We start from the raw sequence: 25,692 nt of genomic DNA on the forward strand, positions 1-25,692 counted from the left end.
GAGTAGTTGGATTTCAAGTACCCGCCACCACACCTGGCTAATTTTCTGTATTTTTATTACAGACGGAGTTTCACCGTGTTGGCCAGGCTGGTCTCCGCCCGCCTCAGCCTCCCAAAATGCTGGGATTACAGGTGTGAGCTACCTGGCTCCTTTCTATCCTTTTTTAAAATTATGTAATTTTCTGCAGAAAGGATATACACACCTTATGTTAAATTTATTGCTACTTTATTTTGTTCTTGTTGTTACTGTTATAAATGGCAACTCTTTCAATTACATTTTCTAACCACTTGTTGCTTCCAGCAAAACTGCTGCATTTAATACAATTAATTGGTTCTTTTTGTTTTTTAATTTGGGGTTTTGTTTTAAATGTATCCATCCTAATTGAAACTATGTACTCTTTGACCAGTATCTCCCCATACCCCCAGCCCTCATAACCACCACTTTATTCTCTGCTTCTCAGAGTTTGACTTCTTTAGATTCCACATGAAAGCGAGGTCGTGCAGTATTTGTCTTTCTGTGTCTGGCTTATTTCACTTAGTGTAATGTCTTCCAGGTTCATCCAGTGAGTTTTCTGAAAACAAATTCTTTTTGTTTTCCACTTAGACAATCATATGATCCAAAAAATAATGACAGTTTTCTTTCTTTCTTCTCGTACTTAAACTTTGATTTCTTTTTCTTATGTTGCTGCATTGGCTAGGACTTTCATCCAGGGTGGTGAGGATTTCTCCCCACTGTGGCATTTTTGTTTTCTATTTGCTTTGCTTCGTATTTGGCTCCTTTCTTCATCATTTCCTTTTTTAAAATTGAATTTATCAAGGTTTCTTTAGTTTTCCTCTTTCTCTCTTTGTTAGACAGTTACAGTTTCGATTTCTATTTTAACACACATACCTAATCTTAAAACCTCTAAATGTTAACCCCATACTTACCTGCCCCTATGGGCAGGCTCAACATTCCAGAATATTCTGTCCAGATAGCTCTGGATCAAACTGCTCTGGATGAAAAGACATCAGGAATAGCAGCCTTTTCCAGTTCAGAGGTTCTGGTTTCTGGGGCTTCTTCCCAAGCTGTCATGCTAAAAAAAAGGCTTAAGACAATTTAGCATATATTAATTATTGTATGTGATTCATTATTCAACACTGATTCCACCCAGGATTATTGATAAGGTGTATGTCACACCTGTTTCTCTCTTTCCTACTCAATGGTCACAACACCTGCCTACACCTGGGTGGCAGGTATTGGCGCCTAGTGAGTCGCCGCCAGATTCCCAGCTTCAAATGGCATCTAGCAAGCAGCCCACGACCCATCTTCCAATTTTCCACTACAATCCTGGGGAGTATGAGCACTCCTATTGCCAATCTCCTTAGCTAAACTTAAATAAACACAACTCACATTTCCCTAAAATGGCATCCAAGTGGTCAGAACCATTTGCATATTTCTTGATGAAACAGAAGACATACAAGCCGTGAAAAGGATGGAATTTTAATTTTGATAATGGGTGACAGCTTGGCTTCTCTCCCAATGTGGTCTAGTTTACTTAGATTTTCCTAGTTAAGCTAAAAGTCTTTCCCTCCCTTTGGAGAATAGGTCTCCCTTGAATACTCTGGAATTCATTTCCTCTCACTCAAAATTAAAGCTAATGAAAATTTCTATTATTTTCTTTAAAAAAGAAAAAAAAAACCCACTCCCTCAGAATGTCTTCACTCCACATTCCCTCCTACTTCCCACATCATTTTTTATTATCTTAGTTCCATTCTTGTTTCCCTAAATCAGTCATTTTTAAGAGCTAAAACTTATCTAGGTTTCCTACCTTATGCTATTGACTTCTTTTCTTCCTGTGTGCCTCTCTCACTCACTGCTCCCAGAAACCAATCCCATTCTTGGATATACCCGTTGGTCATTCTTTCACAGAGGGCATGGCCTGGCAAACATCTTAGACTGCAAATGTCTTTATTTCACCCTCACTCTTGAAGGATAAGCTAGCTGAGTACACAATTCGAGGATGAAAGCTATTTTGTCTCATTAAAAAAAAATGTTATTTGCTGGTGTTTAATATAGGTTGAGCATCTTTAAGCCAAGAATCTGAAATGCTCCAAAACCTGAAACTTATGTGTGCAGACATGATGCTCAAAGAAACCCTCACTGGAGGATTTTGGCTTTTTTTTTTTTTTTGAGACGGAGTCTCGCTCTGTCGCCCAGACTGGGTTGCAGTGGCATGATCTCGGCTCACTGTAAGCTCTGCCTCCCGGGTTCACGCCATTCTCCTGCCTCAGCGTCCTGAGTAGCTGGGACCACAGGTGCCCGCCACCACGCCTGCTCAATGCGTAAGTATAATGCAAATATTCCAAAATCCAAAAAAAGTCAGGATCTGAAACCATTCTGGTGCCAAGCATTGTGGGTAAGGGATACTCAGCCTGTATTGTCGATGAGAAATCTGGTATTACTCTAATTGTCATTCCGTGGTAAGAGATGTGCCATTTTTCTCTGAAGTTTATCTTTGATATTTAATAGTTATGATGAGTCTAAGTGTGAGGTTGCTTCTGTTTTTCCTGATTCGGACCTCACATGCTTTTTGACATGAAGACTTAAGTCTTTCTTAAATTTTAAAACATGGCTAGGCATGGTGTCTGAAGCCTGTAATCCCAGCACTTTGAGAGGCCGAGGCAGGTGGATCACCTAAGGCCAGGAGTTCCAGATCAGCCTGGCCAACATGGCGAAACCCCGTCTCTGCTTAAAAAAAAAAAAAAATTAGCTGGGCTTGGTGTGGGGGGGCCTGTAACCCAGCTACTTGTGAGGCTGAGACAGGAGAATTGCTTGAACTAGAGAGGCGGAGGTTGCAGTGAGCTGAGATTGCACTGCTGCACTCCAGCCTGGGCGACAGAACGAGACTCTGACTCAAAAAAATAAAAATATAAAATTCTAAAAATTTTTAGCCTTTATTTTTTCAAATACTTTGTCTTTCCCATTCTCTGCATGCCTTCCCTCTGAAGGAAGTTCTATGGGTTCGATTATGTCTAAGCCAGTTTACATTTCCTCTGGGCATGTGTTGGAAGTTTTCCTTTCGTGTCCCATGCTGTTCTGTGTCCCTCCTGCGGTTCCCTCTGCCGCGTCCTGTCCCATGTTCCTGGTAGCTTCTGCAGACCTGCCTTCCCACTCGCACATGCTTTCAGTCGCGGCTGGTTTACTGTGCAGTGCATCAGTTGAGTTTTCATGATCACAACTGCATTTCTTAATAGAATTCCTACTCGTTCCTTTTTAATTTTGCCTGTACTTTTTTCATCCCCTCTCCTGAGACTTCAAGCACAGTTTTGTTGACATCTCTTCCAGATCCTTCCAGGGTGTGCTTTATTCTCATTGCTACATCCAGCCACTGGCACCAGGCAGTTTGTTCCCCACGTGATGTGTAATACTTGGCTTCAGTGTGAGCTAGTTCCATATGTAGACACACACCTGCCCTGGGGCGTGGGACATCCGCAGAGCCCCCAGGTTTCCTCATCTCTGGGCCAGTTTCCTGTGTTCTTTTCTCAGCTTATAGGCAGTGTGAATTCAGAGCCCGCACCTTCAACTGGCCCAGGATTCTGCCAATGCTTTTTCCACTCCTGGCGTGGAGGGGATGCCTCTGAGCTGTGTCCCCCGTCAGATGGGTGGATTTTTCTAACTCCCAGATCACAGTTGGGGCGATCCTCCTGGCTCCCTCATGAATGACAAATCCCAGCTCTGTGTGGAGTGTGGGGCATGAGGCAGGGGACAGAGGACAGCTGTGGGCTCAACTCCTTCCTCCAGGCAGGTGGAGGCAGAGCTCTGAGCGCTTCACAGTCCACTGAGTTCCCATCTTGGTTCTCAGCTGTGGCTTGGAGTTGCCTTCATTCTGGTGCTAGAGAATTTCAAGCGAGGATCTGAATTTCCAAACATTTTGTTACTTTATGGAGCATATTTATGTGTTTGGAGCAGGGCCACTCTGTGAGCGGTTGATCTCCCTATCAGCTCCGTTCACCATGGGGGTTATGGGGGCAGAATTGGAATTCTCAATTCATAATATAACCAAGTTGAGCTTGAAAGGAAAACCCAAGGACGTTATGTCCTGGTGCTAGCAGTGGGCGCTTCGAGTCTGAGAGCTGTTGCGGTTCCCTGGACCGTGGAAGGGGTAATCTCTGCCTCTCCTTCCATTTTTAGGATCCAGCCTTGTGCCTAGCCCCTCCTGGGTGCCCACACAGCAGACAGCTGCCCCTTGCTCATGCTTTACAGACGTTGTCTCTAATTCTCATAACTTTTTGAAGTAGATATGTTATGGCTTTTGTTCCTTTTTAAAATTTACCATTTTGTGCTAAAATACATTTGAAATAAAATATACCATTGTAACCATTTTTAAGTGTACATTTCAGGATGGAATACATTCATGCCATTGTGCAACCTTCACCACCGCCCATCTCCAGAACTCTCTTCATCCTGCAAAACTGAAACTCGGCCCCGGGTGCCCATCCCCCTCCCCGCCCTGGCATCCACCCTCTACTTTCTGTCTCTCTGATCTTGACTGGAAGTAGGTATGTACTTAGTCCGCATTTTAAAGTGCAGAGCCTGGGACCCAGTGAGACGGAGTCACGTGCCTGTGGTCACTCGATAGAAAATGGCAAAGCTGGGCATCCCACCCGAGGTCTGTGTCCACAGCCCCTGCCTTGGCGGCCACTACACTGTGGCTTCTTTCAAGTGAGTGCTGAGGAGGAAAGGGGATTACGCTGCACAACCTCAGTGGTGAGATGAGATGAACGGGTGGAAACTAAACGTAAGGAATGTAAGGGATGGGTGAAAAGACGCCAGTGAGCCTCCTGGAAGGGCAGCAAGTTCCCAGACATTCGAAGAATCAAGGTCCTGAAAGGATGACCCAGCAGGGACAGGGCAGAGGGGACCCTGCCACAGCTGAGCGATGGCCTAGATGCTCGTTCTGGGTGCTGTCCCTTCTGGGACTCTAGCGAAACTGTTTTCCTCTCTATTCAGAGTCTGCCATTCATTGGACTATAATGCCCCATTTCATCTGATTGATGACCCAAATAGCTTCAAGTAGCTCTCCGCGGGTGGCCAGCCGCCCTGGAGGGTGTCCAGTTACAGGAGCTGAGCACACTGGACGCCTTTTCTCTTCCACAGTGGGCAATGCACGGTGGGTCCCCCCTTGTCAGGATTAATGAGAGCTTTGGTTGCAGGGCCCCCCCGCCTGTTGCCACGTGACAGTCTCACAAGCTCACCCGGGAAGAGAGGAGAGAAGCCCATCAGGTCACTGAAGTGGGCAGTAGAACCCAGGAGAGGAAGAAAGAAAGGAGAGAGGGGGGAAGTGGATGCAGAGACAGAGCCATTGAAAGTGTTTTCCAACAATGGACTTGGATCGGCTTCCCCTGCCCCTGCAGCAGGGAGCTCGCTGTGCCTGCACTGCTGCAGTACTGACAAATTCATCCCTGTCCAAGGAGAGTGAAGTGAAGGTCCGTGAGGCGAGACCTGCTGGCACTCAGGGTACGTGGGGCCTGGCCCCATGTCCAAGTGCTCCCTCCTTACTGAGGAGTTGGGTTGCCAGGTGCAGCGGCAGTTTCTCTAAGCCACGTTCAGAGCTGAGTTACTGGGTTCTGTGTGAGAAGGGAGCCCACGCCCGAGCCTGTGGAACAGGTCTCGGCTGGAGCAGGTGGTCTGTGCCCCTCCTCACCCCATCTGTCCTGGCTTGCTCTCACCTCGGCTTCCTGGCCTTCCCAGGGCCCTGGTCTCATCCTCACCCTAAAGCAGGCCCCTCCACCTGAGGCGCCTTCGCACTGAGATGCCCGCTGATCTTCCCAGGACCCTCATCTCCGTGGCTCTAAGCTGTTCACCTTCACCCTGGACCCCCAGGAGGGCAGTGGATGAAGGACAAAGAGCAACAACTCTGCTGCCAGCACCAAAAAGCCCTCTGCTGACTCCCTCAAGTCCTCTTTTGCAGATACCTACAAAGGGCCTTGAAAGAAAAAAGAACTAGAATTACGAACAAATCTCTGATGTGGTGGCTGCTTTCATTCTAGTCCCATCGCCCCTGAAGACAGTTGGGAAGGACCTGCTTTTCCCCTGTAGCCCTGGGGGACACCTGCCCTAACAGCCCTGGTCCTCAGCTCCCAGATGGGATGGCTGGAAGTGGTGTGGCTCCAGGCCATCTTCTCTCTGCATAGGCATGGGTTTTCAAACACAACCCTGGTGCCATGCGTGCAAAGGGAAGGCGATCTGCCATCCTGTGGTTTTTGTCTTAGGAAGGTCCTCCCCACTGGAGTGAGCATAAGGATTCAAGGATTAACAGGGGGAAGAGGATATGAAGCCCCGATAGGGCGGTTTCATCCTGGACAGAGAGCAACTTCAACTTTGGAGAATGCTCTTGCAGATGTCTACAGCTATTTACATCCTGAACCCTCTCCTTCTGCTCATTTATTATTATTATTATTACACATTTTTGAGACAGAGTCTTGCCATGTTGCCCAGGCTGGAGTGCAGTGGCTCAATCTCTGCCTACTGCCACCTCCACCTCCCAGGTTCAAGAGATTCTCCTGCCTCAGCCTCCTGAGTAGCTGGGATTACTGGTACACGCCACCACGCCTGGGTAATTTTTGTATTTTTTGTGGAGATGGGCTTTCACCATATTGTCCAGGCTGGTCTCAAACTCCTGACCTCAGGTGGTTCACCCACCTTGGCCTCCCAAAGTGCTGGGATTATAGTTGTGAGCCACTGTGCGCCCGGCCTCCTTCTGCTCATTTAGCCTAAGCTGTCTGCATTCCAATCAGCTCTCCTGTGTCACGCTGATCAAAGTGCTGGCACAGACTAGAAGGAATGAGAACAAAGTGAACACCCATGGTTCCAAAGACGGGAGCAGCACAGCATAACTGATGTCAGCACTGTTTGGCTTGGGGGGAAGCGAAAACGAGAGACAAACAAAGCATCTTCATGTTCTGTTTTATAACCAAGGGGGTGCGCCTGATCTGGGACAGGTCATAGTCTTGAAAGAAATCATTTCTGGGTCACAGATTTTCCTAAAGAATGGCCCAGGTCACCTGAGTTACACCAGGAGGTACTCGAGCTCAGGGACAGTGTCTCCTTGCCTTTGTCACCCAGAGCTAGGAGGCACCTGGACTTAGCGGTTGTTCACAGAGAGGGTGGCCTCAGCACAGTGCAGCAGGGGCCTCGGTGCTCCACAGACGCTGAGAAACAGAGAGGCTGCAGCACAGGCCTCTCGGGCTCTGCGTGTTGTTTGACGCAAGTCCACCTTAGAAATGCCAGAAAGAGAAGACAGGAGAGAGGCGGAGGGAGGGTGCAGAGATGGAGCCTTTGAAGGTGTTTCAAAGACAGAGCCTCATGGATGCCAGAGCAGGATTGAGATTGAAATTCATGGAAGTTAAATTTACGGAAGCTCTTGGCAGGCTGTTGAGGGGTGTTTGGGGGAAGCAGCTTCTGTAAATGTTGGTTTTAAGTATTGCTTGTGCCATTCAGAGCACGGTGGGCAGTGGAGGCCCATCATTCTGGGACCTGGTCGGGTGGAGCATCAGCGCATCCAGACTTTTCCCCTCCAAGGTGCAATTTTATTTTTTTCAAGTATAGACAACATTCTGAAATACTCACAAAGCACTCCTAGGCAAAGTCCTGTGTCTTCGTGGGTCACACTCATTTGTAATACACAGGGCCTGGCTGAAGCTCTGCAGACTGGGCTAAACCCCTGCTATTGGTGAAAATTCCCTTCCAATGATGCACATTGTTACACTAAAGCCCTCAAATATCATTCTTCTCCATAGGGTCCTAGCGGCTCTACCATGTTTTTCTTCTGTGACCCTCGCAGCCTCGCCTGCTCTCTTCCCCTGATTCCAGTCATTTGTCTTGGGCGGGAGACACGCGTCACACCAGGGCCCTCTCTGCTGTTGTCTTTGGTGTCTGGCCACAGGGCTGCTTTCTAGATGCTACAGCCCCTGTGCTGAGCCAGAGGGCGGACAGTTTCCCACCAAGTCCTGTTCACACTGCAAGAATCTCCCAGAATATCTCAGCCTTGGAGCCATGCCAACCCTCCTCATGTGAGGGCTCACTTCAAGTGAATCCCCAGGGCAGACCTGAGCCAGAGCTATGGGCAGAGGGGGCAGCTGGGAGGCAGGGCCCCGGTGTCCAGCACCCCCATGTCAGAGCCGAATCCGGGCTGGGTGCATCTCCTCACTGCCTTGCTCCTCCCACAATGGCTGCAGTACTTAGTTTGGGTTGAATTAATAATTCTAATATAATCGTGTCGTGTAAGGAGAGTAACTGTCCATGTAGCCATGGAAATAAGTTTATAGTGGTCACCCCTAAATAGGAAAGTCAAGCCCTGTGAATGTTCACAGCATTTTTCTGAGCGGTAATCATCAAAGCATCATCCTCTATCAATTACAGAGTGCTCTAGTTAGAAAAACACCATCACACAATCCCTCCATAAACACTCATTTGAGCACCAACTATATGCCAGGCACTGTGTGTGGTGCTAAGGATTCAGGAACAAATAAAGCTTAGTCTCAGGCACTGAGTGCACTGTGCCCAGTGCTTCTGAGAGTTGACCACATCTGACCCACAAACAGGGAAACCAAGGCACGCATGCACTAGGTAGTGATGATGTGGCATGAACCACCTGTGCCCTTCAGTACTATGCATTGTTGCCTCCAGATCCTTATGAAGTTTGAGGGCATTTGATCCTACTTAATAAAGCAAAAACCAACAAAATACAGAGCTCAGAAAGAGCTCTGAAACTCAGGAGTCTGTGTTTCTGCAAAATACAGAGCTCAGAAACACAGGAGTCTGCGTTTCTGCTAAGGTGAACCACTGACCACCAGCAGTCCACGTGTCTTATATGTTGTCAGCCTCCAAGGCTGGCTCTTCCCCAGGTCTCTCCATTTGAAGTTGTGACATGGCACAGACCCCACGCCAGCAGTAAGTCTCCTACATTCAAGGGCAGAGGCCAGCAGGGCCGGGCATGTGCTGAGGGAGGAGAGCCTGTCTCCCCGGGCATGGGCTGCAGGTGTCATCGTCCCGGCGTTTTCCTTTCCGACCCCAATGGAAAAGGATGGCTTGAGATCCTGCTGTGGTCTCCAAGGCCTGCACAGAGACACCCTCCCTAGGGCTCTCCTCTTGGCCACCTGCCACAGGTCACAGGGCTCATTCTCCCACTGGAAGGCTCGCAAAGAAAGAACGCGTTCCCACACACCCAGAAAACGGGACACCCACTCATTTCCAAGCCCGTTCCCAGTAGGAGCAGCTTAAAAAATGTTTCATTTTAAATGACTTCATTTGGTGGCAAACACAAAAGCATGGTAATTTATTCGTGCTTTAAGGAAAAGAATGTCTCTTTTTAAAAAATATCGTTATTTAAGTTCAGGAACTTTCTATTTGGAATCTTGAGATACGTTTAAAAAATACCCCCTTCCTTTCGACCTTCCTTAAAGACCTTGTCAAAAGCTCTGCATGATTTGTAATCTGCTAGTCTCCATGTTAATATTTGCAGCTGTGAAGCTTAGAAAACTCTCTCAGGTTCGCGTTAGTGAAATCTTTTGCAGGAGAAGAAAGTTTCTCAGAGCACTGTGGCTTTAGGTTAAAAGGATAAAATAAACAAAGTGAAAATTAAGTGTTTCCTTTTGGGAACTTGATACCTTGGTATAGGCACCATCTTTGTGTACAGGTTATAGCAACGGTATTAATCACTAACACATGTCTAAAAGTCTCTTTCCCAAAGTGTTCACAATCGGACGCAGAGGTGGCAGGGCGGGTGTGGAATCCTTACCCTTTCCCCTAAAAGCCTCCCACAGAAGCAGATGGTGCTTGCCTGGCCCTTCCTGCCCTTTCCCTCCAACCCACAGGCAGCCTCGCTCTGCTCCTCAGACCCCAGGGTTCACTCACCTCTGGCAGACACAGGAGCCACAGCCTTCGCTCTCCTCGCTCTGCAGTTCTCTTTCTTCAAACAAAAATTCACCTTCACTCTCCACAGTTGATTTTCGTTACATTTAGGAGGTCAAGTAACTTGCCAAGTGTCTGCATGGTTCATTCATCCAGAGTAGGGTGAGTGGTTGGCTGATCATGACCCCCCCCAAAGATGCCCACATCTTCATCCTGGAACCTGTGAACAGCGCCTTCTATAGCAAAGGGAACTTCACAGATGCGATTAACTTAAGGATTCAGAGATGATCCAGGTGGGCCCTAAAAGTCATCACAAGTGTCTTTGTAGGAGGGAGGAGGTGTGATCACGAAAGCAGAGCTTGGAGTGAGGTGGCCACAAGCCCAGGAACAGGAGCAGCCACCAAGCACCGGAAGAGGCAAGAAGGAAATTCTCCCTGGATCCTGCAGAAGGAACCAGCCCTCTGACACCTTGACCTCATGAACCTGAGTTTGGGCTCTGGCCTGCAGAATTGTAAGGGAATAAATTGTTGTTGCTTTAAGCCGCTAAATTTGTGGTCATTTGTTACAGCCATAGGGAATGAATCCAGGTGTATTATATAACAATTGACTCTCCCTGAAATGCAGTGTTTGCTTTTGTAGAGGGGAGTCCTTGGTTTTGGGAATTAATATGCACTTTGTGGAGTATTCGGTAGAGTGAAGGGCAGAGTTGTGAAAGGGGCATTTTGCACCCACTTCTAGCTGGCCCTGCCTCAGTTTACTAGTGTACCATTGGCCCCCTGGCGATGAAGAACTATACCAAAAGTATATTAGTATTAGCTGTTCGAATTAGCACTAGTTTTCAAAATGTCCTAGTTGATTACTTTTCTCTACCAAAATTTGGCAAACCAACCTAGCTGATCATCAGAATGACAGGGGAAGCTTTTCTTAAAAAAAAAAAAAAAAAAAAAGCTGACTCTGGAGTCATCCCTAGAGATACAGATTAAGGAGGTTTGAGATGGAACCTGCATATTTGCATTTTAAAACGTTTCTGTGGGAGTTCTCATGGTTCGCCAGCTTGGGGAAACAGTTTCCCCAGTAGTTTAAGAAACCCAGTGTCCCAGTAGTTTAAGAGACTATTTACTTTCTAGCCCTCAGGAAATGTTTATTAAGCAGAGTCTGCCTCCAGGGACTTGACTTCCTCCAGAGATAGAATTTCATGATCAATTCCAGAGCCCAGTAATAATTGTGGCAAGGAAATCCTTCACCACACTCAACTCAAACTCCTTATTCTGCAGGGTAAGTTGGACACATCCATGCAAAACATTCATTGGGTATCTGTAATGTGCCAGGCACTGGGCGTATACAAGTGAACTAAACAGGTAAAAATACCTGCCCTTCCAATCTAGACTTGATTATCCCCTTCTGTCACCCATGCTTTTCTTCCTGGGTCATCCTCCAGTCCATCCCTGACGCAATCCACTTACTAGCCTCATGGCTCTTCTTTACATTCACCTCCAAGTTCTCTTTATTCCTAGATGGTCAGGGATCTGTGAGAATCCCATGCTGATCACAGGTCACTCACTGACATCACTGGGCACTAAGCTGAGTGATGGGGACATGGAGGTCCCCTCACAGTCTCAAGGAAGGACATGCGCTGATTGTGTCCACAATGACGGAGCTATGTGCCAAGGCTAAGGGGAGTGCAGAGAAGGGGGCCAGGGGTCTTCTCAAAAGAGAAGAGGAAGAGGAGAAATGGGAAGCACCCTGAAGGATGGGTGGGCACCTGCCTGGTGCAGGAGGTGGGGAGAATATTTCAGCATGTGAAGAGGCAAGGAGGCAAAAGAGGAGCGTGGATGTCCTTGGGATCTCAGTCCGCATTATTCAAACAGCCACAGTAATGACCTAAGCGCCTGTAAAATCCTCACTCAAAGATCCCCTGGTTTCAGGAGGCCTATTCTTGCCTCTGACAGTCCCCTCCTGCCTCGCTGCTCCCAAATCATTTCTGGACCAGCAGAATTCCCTCCCAGACCTCAGGAAAATGCCAATCTGCCAAAATGCCAGTCTACTTTCCCAGATCAGTAAACTTTGCCATGCGACTCTAGGTATCCCCCTTTTGTGAGCAGAGGAAGCAGCCCACATGTACTGTGTGATTGATGTGGACAAGTCCCACCCGTGAGCTGGTGAAACTCCATCAAGAAGACCTCAGGTTAGAGCTGATGTCCATGACAACAACACCCATTTGTGGCTGTGAAATACTTTGCTGTCCCCTTGTGAATGAGTGGTAAACTCCAATACTGTTGCATCAGGCATTCACAAAGGATCTGTGGCTGCTCCTCATCCTCCTCCATGGCATACTCTTGCCCACGGAAACATCTGTCTCCACCACTTTTCATTTATGGTTTTAGTTTTTCTCTCCCAACCCATTTCTTTGTTTAGTCCCCAATAAACCTTCTTTTATAGATTTCTATTTGTTTCTTCCAAGGAATTAGAAGGCTTAATGTCAATTTCAATCTCCAAAGCTGGTAGCAATTGAGAAAGTGCTTTCTTCAGATCAATACTTCCTCCTGACTTTGACATTGAGCTATTAATAATTACTTGATATATGCTGTCACCAGGAAAAACATAAGAGCCAATAGAACCACAATACGTGGATATAAAATGAGCTGGTTTTCCCTGAGAGAGATCTTTATGGAGAGGCTTAAGTGCTTAAAAGAGACAGAAAGGTACCCTAGTTCACTTCACTCCTGTTATCCACTAAGCTCATTATCACATCGCCAGAAGTGAGGTCCATTTGTTAAGATGCACTTCAGTGACTTTTCTGCCAACCATGTATCAGCACGTCTCCCTCTCCAAGATTTCAAACTGATGACTCCTCTGCCCATTTCAGCAGCTTGCTCAGCATTGTAAATTATTTACAGCTGCTAATTGACTTGTTGGGATCCCTTATGAGTCGACTGAAGACATCTTAAGTGGGTTCCACTCCAAACATGAAATCCAGTCACCCTCCAGGGGCTGCCCCCACACCCCTGTGGCTACCCCTTCCTCCTCCGCCTCTCCAGAATCCATGTCCTCACTTGGGTACCCCAGCAGAGCAGAGGATGACAGTGGCCTGAGCGCCCTGCCTTCTCAGCCCCAGCCCTTCATTCTCTATGCCACGTGAAGTTGAATAAGATTTTCTTGAAGGGTTTAGAACAACCAAAGGGAAACAAGTGGTTGAATAGGAAGATTTTCAACTGTGTAGTGTAGGATGGCCTCCATAGTCCAAGGGGAATGTGATGGTTAATATTAAATGTCAACTTAATTGGTTTGAAGGATGCAAAGTATTGTTCCTGGGTGTGTCTGTGAGGGTGTTGCCAAAGGAGATTAACATTTGAGTCAGTGGATTGGGAGAGGCAGACTCATCCTCAATCTGGGTGGGCACCATCTAATCAGCTGCCATCATGGCTAAAATAAAGCAGGCAGGAGAAGACGGAAAGAGCAGATTTTCTGAGTCTTCCCATCTTCATTTTTCTCCCATGCTGAATGCTTCCTGCCCTCAAACATCAGACTCCAAGTTCTTCAGCTTTTGGACTCTCAGACTTACATTGGTGGTTTGCCAGGGGCTCTTGGGCCTTTGGCCAGAGACTGAAGACTGCACTGTCTGCTTCCCTACTTTTGAGGTTTTAGGACTTGGACTGGCTTCCCTGCTGCTCAGCTTGCAGATGGCCTATTGTGGAATTTCACCTTGTAATCATGCGAGTCAATTCTCTTTAATAAATTCCCTTTTATATATACATCTATCCTATTAGTTCTGTCCCTCTAGAAAACCCTGAGTAATACAGAGAACAACACAAAACAGGCCAAGACCTAAGCAGGCTTAACCCCTTCTCTTACCCAGAAAGTTGCCCCAGAGACAACGCGGTTCCCACTAGCAGTACCTTCCCCTGCTGGGATTTCCCGTTTAGGATGTGCCTCTTGGTGCTAGAAGAACAGTCTGGGTTGGTGTGGGCTCTTGCCAGCAGCCACCCACATCTCCTCACCCATGTGTCTCTTTCTCCCAAACCTCACTCTGGTGCCAACTGGTGAAACACACACATTCCCAAATTCAACGTCATGAGAAGCAACAGGAAGAATACAAACGTCCTCCTAAGAACCCAATTTGCAAGATCTTGAATGCTGACATAGGAGCTGGTACATTACTCATCTTGGGCAGACTTTATTTTTGTCACCACAACTTTCTCTGCTATGATTTGAATGGGTCCCCCAAAGTTCATGTGTTGGAAACTTAAACCCAACGCAACAGTGTGAAGAGGCAGGGCGTTTTAGCAGTGCTTATGTCATGAAGGCAAAGCCCATTACTGCTGTTATCATGGGAGTGGGTTCTTGGTAAAGGGACGTGTTCAGCCCCCTTCCCTTCTCTCTCAAACACACTCTTTGCATTTCTGTCATGGAATGTCTCAGCAAGAAGGCCCTCGCCAGATGCCAGCATCTAGATAGTGGACTTCCCAGCCTCTAGAACTATGAGAAATAAATTTCTTTTCAGTATAAATGACCCAGCCAGTGGTATTCTGTTATAGCAGCATGAAAAGGACTAGGATGGTCCCCAAACCCTTTCAGATTATGTTTCCTTGGGCCTGTTAGAGGTAAAAAATGGGATTGTTTCAGAGATACCTGCCTGCTTCTCTAGCTTCACAAAGACCCAGGTACAACTTTAAAAAGAACTGCTTACAAAAGCCTGGAAAACACAGGCCATCCTCTTCACCTGGGAGAAAAGGGAAAGGAGGGGAGAAATTGAGGGTGAAATGTGATTTTCCTTTCACTTATACACGGCGGGGAGGGGGGTGCGTTTTAAAAGGAAACTTTCATGAAGGGGAGAGGGGTCGGGGTGGCTTTCTCCAGCCCCTCATTCTGTCACCCGCCAGGAACACTGAGTGTTCTGTAAGCTTTGCAGCAGGTTGGCTCCACCAGTGCACTTACGAAGACTTGGCACCCCAACTGTGAAAGGTTTCCAATTTTTGTACTAATTCATGTCATTTATACTTTCAGCATCATTGTAGATATTACTTCTCAAAAATGGTACCATCTCACTCAATATTTTCTTTTCAAAATAAGAGAGCTTCTGTGGAATCTCCTTTTAGGTATATACTACCATAAGATGGCTAGACAATAGATAGATAGATAGATAGATAGATAGATAGATAGATAGATAGATAGATAGATAGATATGGATGGATGATGGATGGATGGATGGATGGATGGATGGATGGATGGATGGATGGATAGGTGGATAGCTAAGATAACAGCTTCTCTCTCTAAAGCTAACACATTCCAGCTATTTCCTTAGAGCAAGTACCTAAACCTTCTGACTACTCATTAGTTGAAAATGGGCCCCCTGTTTTAATCTTCAGACTCAGCTGTTCAATCAAGCTGGGGAGGAGATGACTGTATGGACAACTTCATCAGGAATCTCAGGCATATATGTTCCAAGGAAAATTCACATTAGAATTTATTATGAGCCCATATGGACCCCTGGAAGCAGCAGCAGGAACAGCTGTCTTCTGAGGTCCTTGCCAATGGGCCCGAAAATCAGTTGCACCATTGACCTCAAGTAGAAATTTCCTCAGCCACCCTGCCGTGAACTTTCCAAGTTGCCATATGGTGCTTCCTGCTCTCCCATGAGCCCCTCCCATATGGTCCCCCTGTGGGGAGGTTACAGTCCCAGGAAGATTTGGAGAACAGAGTCCAAGGATGGATCCAAGAACAAAAGGTATGGCCAAGCTGCAGATGTGTGTACATACATTTCCAACAGGTTCCTCCACACAGCTCATGCTGGACCTAAAAGGATGTGTTTAGTCATCCCTCTCCTCGGTCCAGAAAGGATTTAAGATAGATGGCTATGTTACAGCCGTTGTTCGTGATTTAGGGGTAAATATATTTTCTCAATTATCCTCAAGAAGAAAAATAAAAAATCAAACCAAAGCAAAACAAAGTATCAAAGACTCGAAAGAGATTTTAGCAAATTACTATCACAAATTTTACAAACCTGCTTTCTTTGCCTGACACATCTCAGTTTTTTTCCTATCCGTATCTGTAGAGTCTCAGAAAAAGGCTGCAGGGATCCAACGTCCTTCGTCAATTACACTGCGACATATGCTGCAACAGCAACCACAGACTTACCCCATTTTTGTAGAGAGAGAAAGAGATTTTGAAGACATATCATTTGTCTCTACTTATATTTAGGTACACAGCCTACTTATCCTTGTTACCTGCTTTTCTTCCGCTCAAAAAAATGAAATAAAATAGGAATTAATTACATCCAAAAAGGTGCAAAACAAAGAAAAAGCAATATCAGAAGTCAAGTCAAATTCTATCCAGACAACATGTGAGTAAATAGTGCCTTGAATTTTAAAACATTTTGAGAATGAGCAGTAGATTCAAATAATGGAATTTTCTTTTCAACTATGAGCATAGCATATCGTAGAAACTGGGTTTATTCAGGGTTATAGTCACGAATACAAGTTCTATGTTCCTGACAACATGAAATCAAGCCTCTTACATGCACACAAATGTGAACGTGCCTCTGATGTTACTCCAAGATAGGTAGTGCATATTTTGGATGTAAGAGCAGAGTTGCTTCGCTTCCCAACTCACAGAACAGTTCTGTACTAAGGATATGAGCAAAAAATAAACTTGATTTTTATAGACGTGTTTTTTTCCAAGGCCTTGGCCCATAATCTTATTAAATTTAACAGTTCAAAATAAGTTTCCCTGGGAAACTTCAAAAACTGACTCATATCTTTGAAAACACTGACTTTTAAAATGTTTATTATCAAAAAAAGTCAGAAATTTCCAATACGGAAGATTACGACTTAAGAAGTAAACATTCACCCTTTATTCCCTCTCAGAAACAATTGAATTGTAGTTTTGTGTATGTACCCTTTCAGGGTTTAAAATTTATAGAGATAGATATTTGTATAGCTACACACGCACCGACAGATGTACTGTTTTTTCTTTAACGAAAATGGAACTGGGATTTACCAACTGTTCTGCAGCTTGCTTTTTCCATGTAATGATCTATCCCGGACGTCTTTCAATTCCCATGTCCCCTTTCTCTTGGGAGGTCCCACTTTCCCACCCCTGGTGTGGCTGGGACAACAGCCCCTTGCTTACCCACCCCCTGTTGAGGGACAGTTAACAAGGGGTGGGTAGGCTGCTGATTGCTGTCGATTTTTAGTAATTGTGAGATCCAGCACTGAGTCTGCTGTGCGTGCGGCTTTCCTGACTTGGGCAAGTGTGTCTCTGGAATGGTGCTGAGTCCCTCAGTAAGGGACAGGATGAGCGTGGCACAACCCTGTGGACAAGGAGAGCCTTGCTGGCCTCAGGAGGTGGCTTCCAGCCTCAGATTCACAGTCACTGGGAGTGGGCCTCGAAGCTCCAGAAAAATGTTTCCAACTTTTTATTTTAAAACAGACAGATCGCTTTTCAAATAAAAGCTGACTTGGGCCACATGTATCTAAGAACATTAGGAAAAATGTTCTGGCTGAAATAGGATGAGGGGGCTCAGGGACAGGCCTTAGTTTCCCCTTTTTTCCCCATGCGTGCTCAAACTCCTTGCACTCCAAGAAGTAAAGTTTAAAGCACCAGAGTGAGAACCAGCAGGAGACAACGACCTGTGAGACCGGGGGTAGAGCAAGGACCCTGTAAACAGGGCAGGGCAAACCGCAAATCACATCCTCCTGAGCCCTGCGGGCACACGGGGAGCCCCTTCTACAGGACAAACTTGGGCTTCAAATGGGAAAGAAGTCTGCAGAGCACAGACAGTACAGGGTGCAAGCAGCAGCGTGCGGAGGAGCAGTGTGAAAACTGTGCAGCCATCCTGAAATTATGAAAATTGTCACGATACCCCTCATATTGTGTGCCTCTGCCCCGTTCCACCGTGTGCAGGCCTAGAAATCACCCGTGGGCAAGTCAGTTTCCCATCAGGAAGTCAGTCAGTTTCCCGTCAGGAAGTCAGTCAGTTTCCCATCAGGAAGTCAGTTTCCCGTCAGGAAGTCAGTCAGTTTCCCGTCAGGAAGTCAGTCAGTTTCCCATCAGGAAGTCAGTCTCCCATCAGGAAGTCAGTCAGTTTCCCATCAGGAAGTCAGTTTCCCATCAGGAAGTCAGTCAGTTTCCCGTCAGGAAGTCAGTCAGTTTCCCGTCAGGAAGTCAGTTTCCCATCAGGAAGTCAGTCAGTTTCCCATCAGGAAGTCAGTTTCCTGTCAGGAAGTCAGTTTCCCATCAGGAAGTCAGTTTCCCATCAGGGAGGGAACATTTTGATGACTGTTTTGAGCCTAGCAAGTCACCTTCCTGAGTTTCACAGATCTCAGGAGGAGACATTTGCAGCAGGTTCCTCATCTCAGTCAATAGCCACTGTGTTTATTGCACAGCTCCTCCAGGCCAGGCCTTGTGCCTGGTGGGAGAATATAAAAAGAAGCAAACAGACGTGGCTCCAGCCCTGGCGGGGCTTCTTACATAAGTGGTGACCGACTGTGCGGTGCTATGGAGGCAGCGTCAGGAGCTGAGGCCACCCTGGAGAGAGGGGCTAAGCCTGCAGCATGGGATAACTTCCCTGGGGAAGAGCCCAGGGAGGGGATGAAGAAGGTGGGTGGGGTGCAGGGTAGAAAGTGTAACATGGAGAGGGCTTGTCTCGGTCCAGTCCTGGGGCAATGGGAAAGTCACTGCTGAGGACTCACACTGTCCTCCGCTGACCACTTTTGATGTCTCTAGCCCTCCTCCCCGGGAATACCCCTCGGTTTACTCAATATCTCTGCTTCAGTGGTGGACAGACACCCACATTTGCCTTGCTGAAAACTCAGCGGGCTCCTGGTCTCCCCAGCGACACCAAGTCTCAATGAAGAACAACTGCATCTTCTCGCTCCAGTGGCCACAAAACATGGGGTGCTGCCGGGGTCCTTTCTCAGCCCACGCCTGGTCTGTCGGCAGATTCCATGCAGAGGCCGCCACTCCCCGACGGGGCCTCGCTGGGCCCAGCCATGCCCTGAGCTCCCACCAAAGCCTTCACCCTGGTCTTCCTGTTTTGCCTCCCCCAGGCCTGTTCTCGACACAGTCTCCAAACCCCCTCTCCACTTCCCACCCTCAGAATCAGAGCCCAGCCTGTGGGATGACCTCCCCTGACCTCTTCATCAACCTCTGCTCATCTCTGGCCTCCAGAGAGCTCCTCTGCCACACCGCTCCCACCTCCACGGTCCAGCCTCACAGCCTTTGCCAGGCTCTGTCCCTACCCAGACGCTCTCCTCCCCGGACAATATCCCTACGTGGCCACCTGGCTCTGCTTCCACCCAGAGTGCTCACCATGTTTTAGCTTAAGGTAAACATAACTTGCTGTTTGCTGTATTTGTTATTTGTTATTTATTATCTGCCTTCAGCACACCCATCCCCATGCATCGGAATATCAGCTCTTTGAGGACATGGATTTTTGGCCTGTTTTGTTCATTGATCTGTCCCCAGGGTGCCGGGCACATTGTAGGTGTTCAATAAAAATGTGTGGAAGGAATGAATCAGGTTTGAAGGAGGGAAGGCTGTGAACAGAGCCTTGGACTTCTCCACCTAAGAGCGGGTTTGTGGAGGCTGCTGACGAGGCTGCCACATTGATCCAGGTACCAGAGGAGAGTGGGGCTGGGCCAGGGTAGGTGGAGGTGAATGGATGGAGTGAACTGGAAAGCACTGATGGGCTTGTGGGGGAACTGGGGATGGGGGAAGAGATGGTGTTGATGGACCCCCATTTCAGGATGGGGCACAGGGGTCTGAAAGCCCTGAGGAGCCCCTGGTCTGGGGAGCTGACACATTCCATTTTGGAGAACTGAGTTTGTGAAGCCTGTTAAGAACCAAACAAGAAGGAAGATTGATTCTTATGGAACTGGGGAGTGTGGATTGGGAAATAAAATTGTATTTGGCTTCACCTTGAACATGGAATAGGACTGCAGGGGCAGTGATGGGGAGAGAGCCCGGGGGTCTGTGGGTACCACTCGGATGGGCAGTGTCCACGCACCGTCAGCTTGGCGAGTGCTCACAGACAAAGGGAAACAGATGACAACAATGTGTCATGAACTATACAATGATCTCAGATGCTAATGTTATTAGTTTCCCACCCAAATTCTGTAAAGGGCTGATTATTCTGGAACGCGTGACTGCGCTGTTGCTTTGGTGCTAGGTAAAACTCATAGTTTCCTATTTTTGGTGACTCTCCACCAGTAGCAATTTTGAAAAGTAGGTTTCCTTTGTTTTCCCACAGACAGAAAACCTTCAGTGACTTGGGCAGAGTGTCGCTTAAGTGAAATGGGTGCCAGTCCTGTTAGGAAGGGTAAACAGGTCTGTATCGTTCATGATGTGGGAAGGAGAGAGGCAGAATGAGGCGGCGGCCATTGATTCATGGAATCCCTGACGGTGCTAGAGCCATAGAGGCAAGCGGCAGTTCTGAACTAGATTCCTGGTGTGTGTGTGCACGTGTGAGCGGACATGGGAGCGAGGATGCGTGCATGAGTGTGATGGTGTGTGTGCACGTGTGAGCGCGCACGTGGGAGTGAGGATGCGTGCATGAGTGTGATGGTGTGTGTGCATGTGTTAGCATGCGCGTGGGAGCGAGGATGTGTGCATGATTATGATGGTGTCTGTGCGTGTGTGAGCATGCGTGTGAGAAGGAGGATGCGTGCATGAGTGTGATGGTGTGTGTGCATGTGTGGGCTTGCACGAGTGTGTGTGCATGTACAAATGTGCACGTGAGTGTGTGTGTGTGTTGGGATTGGGGGTGGCTTCTTAACCAGAAGCAGTCAAACACAGGCCGCGGGTTTTCTGCTGGTGTCAGCAGAGAGGAAAATGATGCCCCGCAGGCTGGAGTGAGCACTTGGAGCTCTAAACCCAGCAGGAGCAAAGAGTGGGGAACCAGAGGCAGTTGCTACAGAAGCTGGCAGGCTGTTGCACCTTAACAGAGATGCTCTTGGAAAAAATGATGCCCTGGTCCAGCCCAGGCCTTGTGGTCCCACCACTGATCATGAACAAGAAAGAAGACCTCCTTGGTCAGAGTCTGGGAGAGTCGGCCTGCTCTTGGTGCCCATGGACCCAACCAAGCCAGTGTGCACACTCTTTCCCTTAGCAAACTGGATTATAAATACCCCTCGGTGATCCAGATTACAGCACTTCTGAAGTTATGCTATTAAAGAAGCATTTAAGAATTTGGCTACTTTCCTTCCAAGAAACTGCATAAATTACATTATTATGAAAGGCAGAACATCAGGATTTTTTTTCCAGGCTATAAATTGTTCTTAGTAGAGATGTTGCTTTTCTTCTCTGGGATTTCTGAGCCTCCACAGTGAATTAAAGTTCATAGCTCTTACAACTCAGGTAAACTATTTTAAGTTTTCATAAATAGGTTTGCCTGTTTGCCCTTTTCACACTAGCTATGTTAGCTAAAGCCTCTTGTTCTAAATGTTTGTGACGTTGCTGGCTAATGAGTTCAAGGGCATTGATTTTTCTTTCAAAGACAGCATCTTCCCTAATTATACTTCCCTGGCATGCAGCATGGCTCCCACCTGCCTCAGACCCTCCACACAGAACCTGGGAGCTGTGACCCTCTCAGATCAGGGGCAGAGTCTCTATCAGGTAAGCCAAGGCCCCTCCCACAACTGTACCCTGGTCCATCTCATGTATTAAGGCCTTAGCCTACAGTCCTCCCTCCCTGAGCCTATCTGGGAACATCTTTCTAAACTCGCTTGGAGTGATGAAGCTTTGTTATCGCAGTGGGACAAACCGACCTCCTGCCCATCTCCTGTGGAGAAGGATGAGCGGCCAAGGTGGCCAAACAGGGAGGTGAGGGAGAGAGAAATGAACTTAGAGACTGCAGGCTGGCAGGGCCGCTTCTGCAGGGAAACCCTCCATCCTGCTGCCCAGCTTGCCCAGGGACAACTGGCTCTTGCCCACAGGGCAAATGACGTCTACAACAACCAAGCTGCTGCCTCCTCCACTCCAGAGGAACTGCAGGCTTTGCCCGTCTGCTAACCTCAGCTGCTCGAGGTCAAGCAGGAGCCAGGAGCTCTTGCATTGACTCAGTTCTCAGCTGCACAGCCAGAAGGTTCTCTGCAGTCCACAGCTCCACAGCAGAGCCCACCATTCTCAGGCAGGGAAGCTCGGTAAGTTCTTAGACAGGTGATACGCATCAGAATCACGTGTGGAATGTGATAGAAAGACATGTACCAGGCTCCCCACCCCTGAGGCTTTCTTTCCTGAGACAGGAGGTGGGGCCCAAACTCTGCTGGCTGAGGAGGCTCCTGTGTCAGCTGGAGCCCGTGTTTGGATTCCCCTGTGTGATGTGGCTTCCAGAGGGCTGGGGATGGGGCTGTCGCTGCAGCATTAGATCACTGAACAGAGTCTGTTCCAAGAAAGGAGTTCAAGGGTGCTGTGAGAAGGGGTTAGGAAGAGAAGCGGGAGAGACTACTTCCTACATCAAAGCCAACCTTGTGGTTTAAAATAGTCAGCACTCACCAGTTACTGATCTCTCTTGATATGTCCACTGTCCCATTAAACCCTCACAACAGCCCTGGTGAGATAAGGCAATTACAATTATTAATGTGCTTGCAGATGGGGAAACTAAGGCACCGGGAGGTTAAGTAACTTGCCCAGTATCAATAAACTGATAGACGACGCTGCTGAGAAAAGAATTTCAGATTTTCATCTCAGAGTTCATGTTTTAGCCACCAGATGTAGGAAATACAATGGATGCCAGTGACTTTAATTTTTTGATTTTTTTGAGACAGAGCCTCATTGTGTCACCCAGGCTGGAGTGCAGTCCCATGATCTCAGCTCACTGCAACCTCCACCTCCCAGATTCAAGTGATTCTTGTGCCTCAGCCTCCCGAGTAGCTGGGATTACAGGCGTGTCCCACCACACCCAGTTAATTTTTGTATCTTTGGTTGAGACAGGGTTTTGCCATGTTGGCCAGGCTGGTCTCGAACTCCCGACCTCAGTTGATCCGCCTGCCTCCCAAAGTGCTGGGATTACAGGCATGAGCCACCATGCCCAGCCTGCCAGTGACTTTAGAGGAGGAAAAGGTAAAGTCTGAGCCCAGAGTAACCCAAGGAAGAGGCAGGAGAAGCAGAGAAGGGTGGGTGAGCTTCTGGAGCACAGAGACTTCCAAAGACAGGAAGAAAGTGCTCTGCTTGTGAGCTCCTGGACTCCTGGCCATGTATGGCAGGTGCACTTGACAGTGATAACTTAAGCACACCCTCAGAATGGCCATGTATGCATGATTCCTTAGCTCCGTTCAGAGCCAAGGAATCTGGGAGTGGCCATCCTGGAGATTCATTCCTTATCTCAGAGGAACATCTGAGCCCCCAGCCCACATCACAGAATGCGAGCAGTACCAAGGATAGAGGCCCTTTGTTTTGGGTTAAATGAAGGTTGCCGGGTGGAGGTTGTTCCTGGGAGGGCGCTCAGTGAAGGTGCTATATAAACTGCATGCCTTTTGCAAGCGACTGCAGTTCTCCTGTCCAGCCCAGCACTGCTGGATCATTCTGTATAAAAGTTCCCCTCAATGAACTCTACGTCTTGTGTGCTGGCTCTGGGTCTTTTCTTCAGCCTCCCAAACCTGCTGATACATGAGTTAAGAAGAAGTTACTTAGGCAGATAGTGAGGGCAGGGAGTCCTCGGTAAGGCCTTTCTTTTTAATGACAAAGCAGCCCCAAATCATTTTCTAACAACGAGCAGCCTGTAAAGTCGAGCTGCAAACAGAGACAAGCAAGCTGGGAGTCTGTATGAGTGAATGCCGATGGGAGCAAGGGACTAGATATCTCCAGGGTAGCAACTCCATCTTCCCTTCTCTGCCAGCACGTGTACAGTAAAGAGCAGAAAAGATGGCCCCGATCCACTGGAAAGTCTATTTGCATAATAAGATTAGGGTGGGGTGACCAGCCTTCCCCACTCACTATGTAAATGTCGTACCTGATCCAACCAATCTGTGAGGCCTCTGTAAATCAGACACCCCCTTCTTAAACCAGACTATAAAATCCAGCACATTGGCCACCAGCTGGTCCTTTCCACTTGGAGACCCCTTTCTCTGTGGAGAGAGCTGTTTCTCTTTCTCTTCTGCCTATCAAACCTCTGCTCCTAAACTCCTCATGTGTGTCCGTGTTCTAAATTTTCCTGGCGCACAACAAGGAACCCCAGGAACATAGATCTCAGACAATGTAGCTGCTTCACTGCCATCCCTACTGCAGTTAATATGGGCCCAGCACCACAGGCCACGTCAGCTGCTCAGACGAGACACTCAAAGTGGAGCCCAGCAAACGCCTTTCTCTGCTCTTCAAAGTGTCCTGTAGGATTTCTTGAAAGGCTGAGCCTCAGCAACGTGCAAGAGTGAACTACGCCCCACTGGAAAAATACAAGGAGCAGAAGGAAGGCCAACCTTGGGAATCGAAAGCCCTCAGGGCAGGTTTCAGGATCCAAGAGTGGGGACAAATCGTTCCTGGGTATTCTCACTTCACAAAGCAAAAGCAGCTAGTCCAGCAGAGGGCGTGGCCCAGGAGCAGACAGGTCCCTTGGGTGCATTTTAGAAAACAAGCATGAAAGCCCTTCGACTTGGGGGTGAAAAACAGGCAGGCAGCCTTTTACCCTAAAGTGTACTCAACAGTGAAAAAAAAATGTTTCTTAGCAAAGGGTAGCCAGCTTCAGTCATCTGTTTCCTCACTGACAGTGGCAGTCAATAATTACACAGGCCATGCATTGGAAGAAAATATCTGCAGCATATATACTGGATTAATCATTTCTTGAAAAGACAGCCTAGTGAAAAATGAGCAAAGTATGTGCACACTTCACCAAAAAAGTACGCATGTAGCTAATACATGAGCACAGCCTCACCAGTGAGTGGAAATGTGAATTGATAAGATCTGTGTCTCCCCCTTCTATTAAATAGGCAGAAACAGAATCAACCAATAATATCCAGTTTTTGTAAGGATATGAGAAAAGCATGTGGGCAGGGGGGTAAATTGGTGTAGTCTTCCTCAAGAAAAATTTGTCAACACCTATCAAAGTGTGCTGGGGCCCGGCAACAGAAGCTAGCTGAGGATGTCAATGTCGCTGATAGCAGCGTCCAGCTGGATGCACTCTCTGGTCGCCTTTCATGCAGGGGTCCCCAACACCCGGCCATGGACGGGTACTGGTCTGTGCCCTATCAGGATCTGGGTTGCACAACAGGAGGTGAGCAGTGGATGAGTGAGTGAAGCTTCATCTGTATTTACCGCCCCTCCCCATGGCTCACATCACCACCTGAGCTCCGCCTCCTGTCAGAACAGCAGCAGCATTGGATTCTCACAGGACTGTGAACCCTACTGTGAACTGAACATGTGAGGGATCTAGGTTACATGCTCCTTATGAGAATCTAATGCCTGATGATCGGTCACTGTCTCCCATCACCCCCAGATGGGACCATCTAGTTGCAGGAACACAAGCTCAGGGTTCCCACTGATTCTACATGATGGTGAGTTGTGTAATTATTTCATTACGCATTACAATGTAATAATAATATAAATAAAGTACACAATAATCATCCCGAATCCACCCCCGCTACTCCATCTGTGGAAAAATTGTCTTCCATGAAACCAGTCTCTGATGCCAAAAGGGTTGGAGACCGCTGCTTTAAGTCAATAAGGAAAACCCGGATGAACCGTTTAGCCAAGACCAGCATCCACAGAGAGTGGCTCCAGGTGCAATGTCATGCAAAGCTAAAACCCACTGGGTCTTCTTGAGACAGTGCAGGTGTAGTGGGATTCAGACGCTGGTCCCCTACCTGGAGTCCT

General features: G+C 47.7%; 1 long non-coding RNA gene across 1 annotated transcript, besides 2 other annotated features; it reads left to right on the top strand.

The window, feature by feature from the left end:
• Nucleotides 1–2,237: 2,237 nt before the first annotated feature.
• Nucleotides 2,238–5,999, top strand: LINC01922 (long intergenic non-protein coding RNA 1922). The gene is made up of 2 exons (NR_131977.1): nt 2,238–2,321; nt 4,380–5,999. It is a non-coding gene; the product is annotated as a long intergenic non-protein coding RNA 1922 (long non-coding RNA).
• Nucleotides 4,645–5,403: an enhancer, noted in NCBI's record as "OCT4-NANOG-H3K27ac-H3K4me1 hESC enhancer chr18:72079090-72079848 (GRCh37/hg19 assembly coordinates)". NCBI's record gives its function as "activates a minimal SCP1, AML or CMV promoter by ChIP-STARR-seq in naive H9 embryonic stem cells {active_cell/tissue: H9 hESC(naive)}" and the evidence as "EXISTENCE:reporter gene assay evidence [ECO:0000049][PMID:30033119]".
• Nucleotides 5,404–6,162: an enhancer, noted in NCBI's record as "H3K27ac-H3K4me1 hESC enhancer chr18:72079849-72080607 (GRCh37/hg19 assembly coordinates)". NCBI's record gives its function as "activates a minimal SCP1, AML or CMV promoter by ChIP-STARR-seq in naive H9 embryonic stem cells {active_cell/tissue: H9 hESC(naive)}" and the evidence as "EXISTENCE:reporter gene assay evidence [ECO:0000049][PMID:30033119]".

Source organism: Homo sapiens, chromosome 18 (assembly GCF_000001405.40).
Source record: "Homo sapiens chromosome 18, GRCh38.p14 Primary Assembly".
Lineage (NCBI taxonomy): Eukaryota > Metazoa > Chordata > Mammalia > Primates > Hominidae > Homo > Homo sapiens.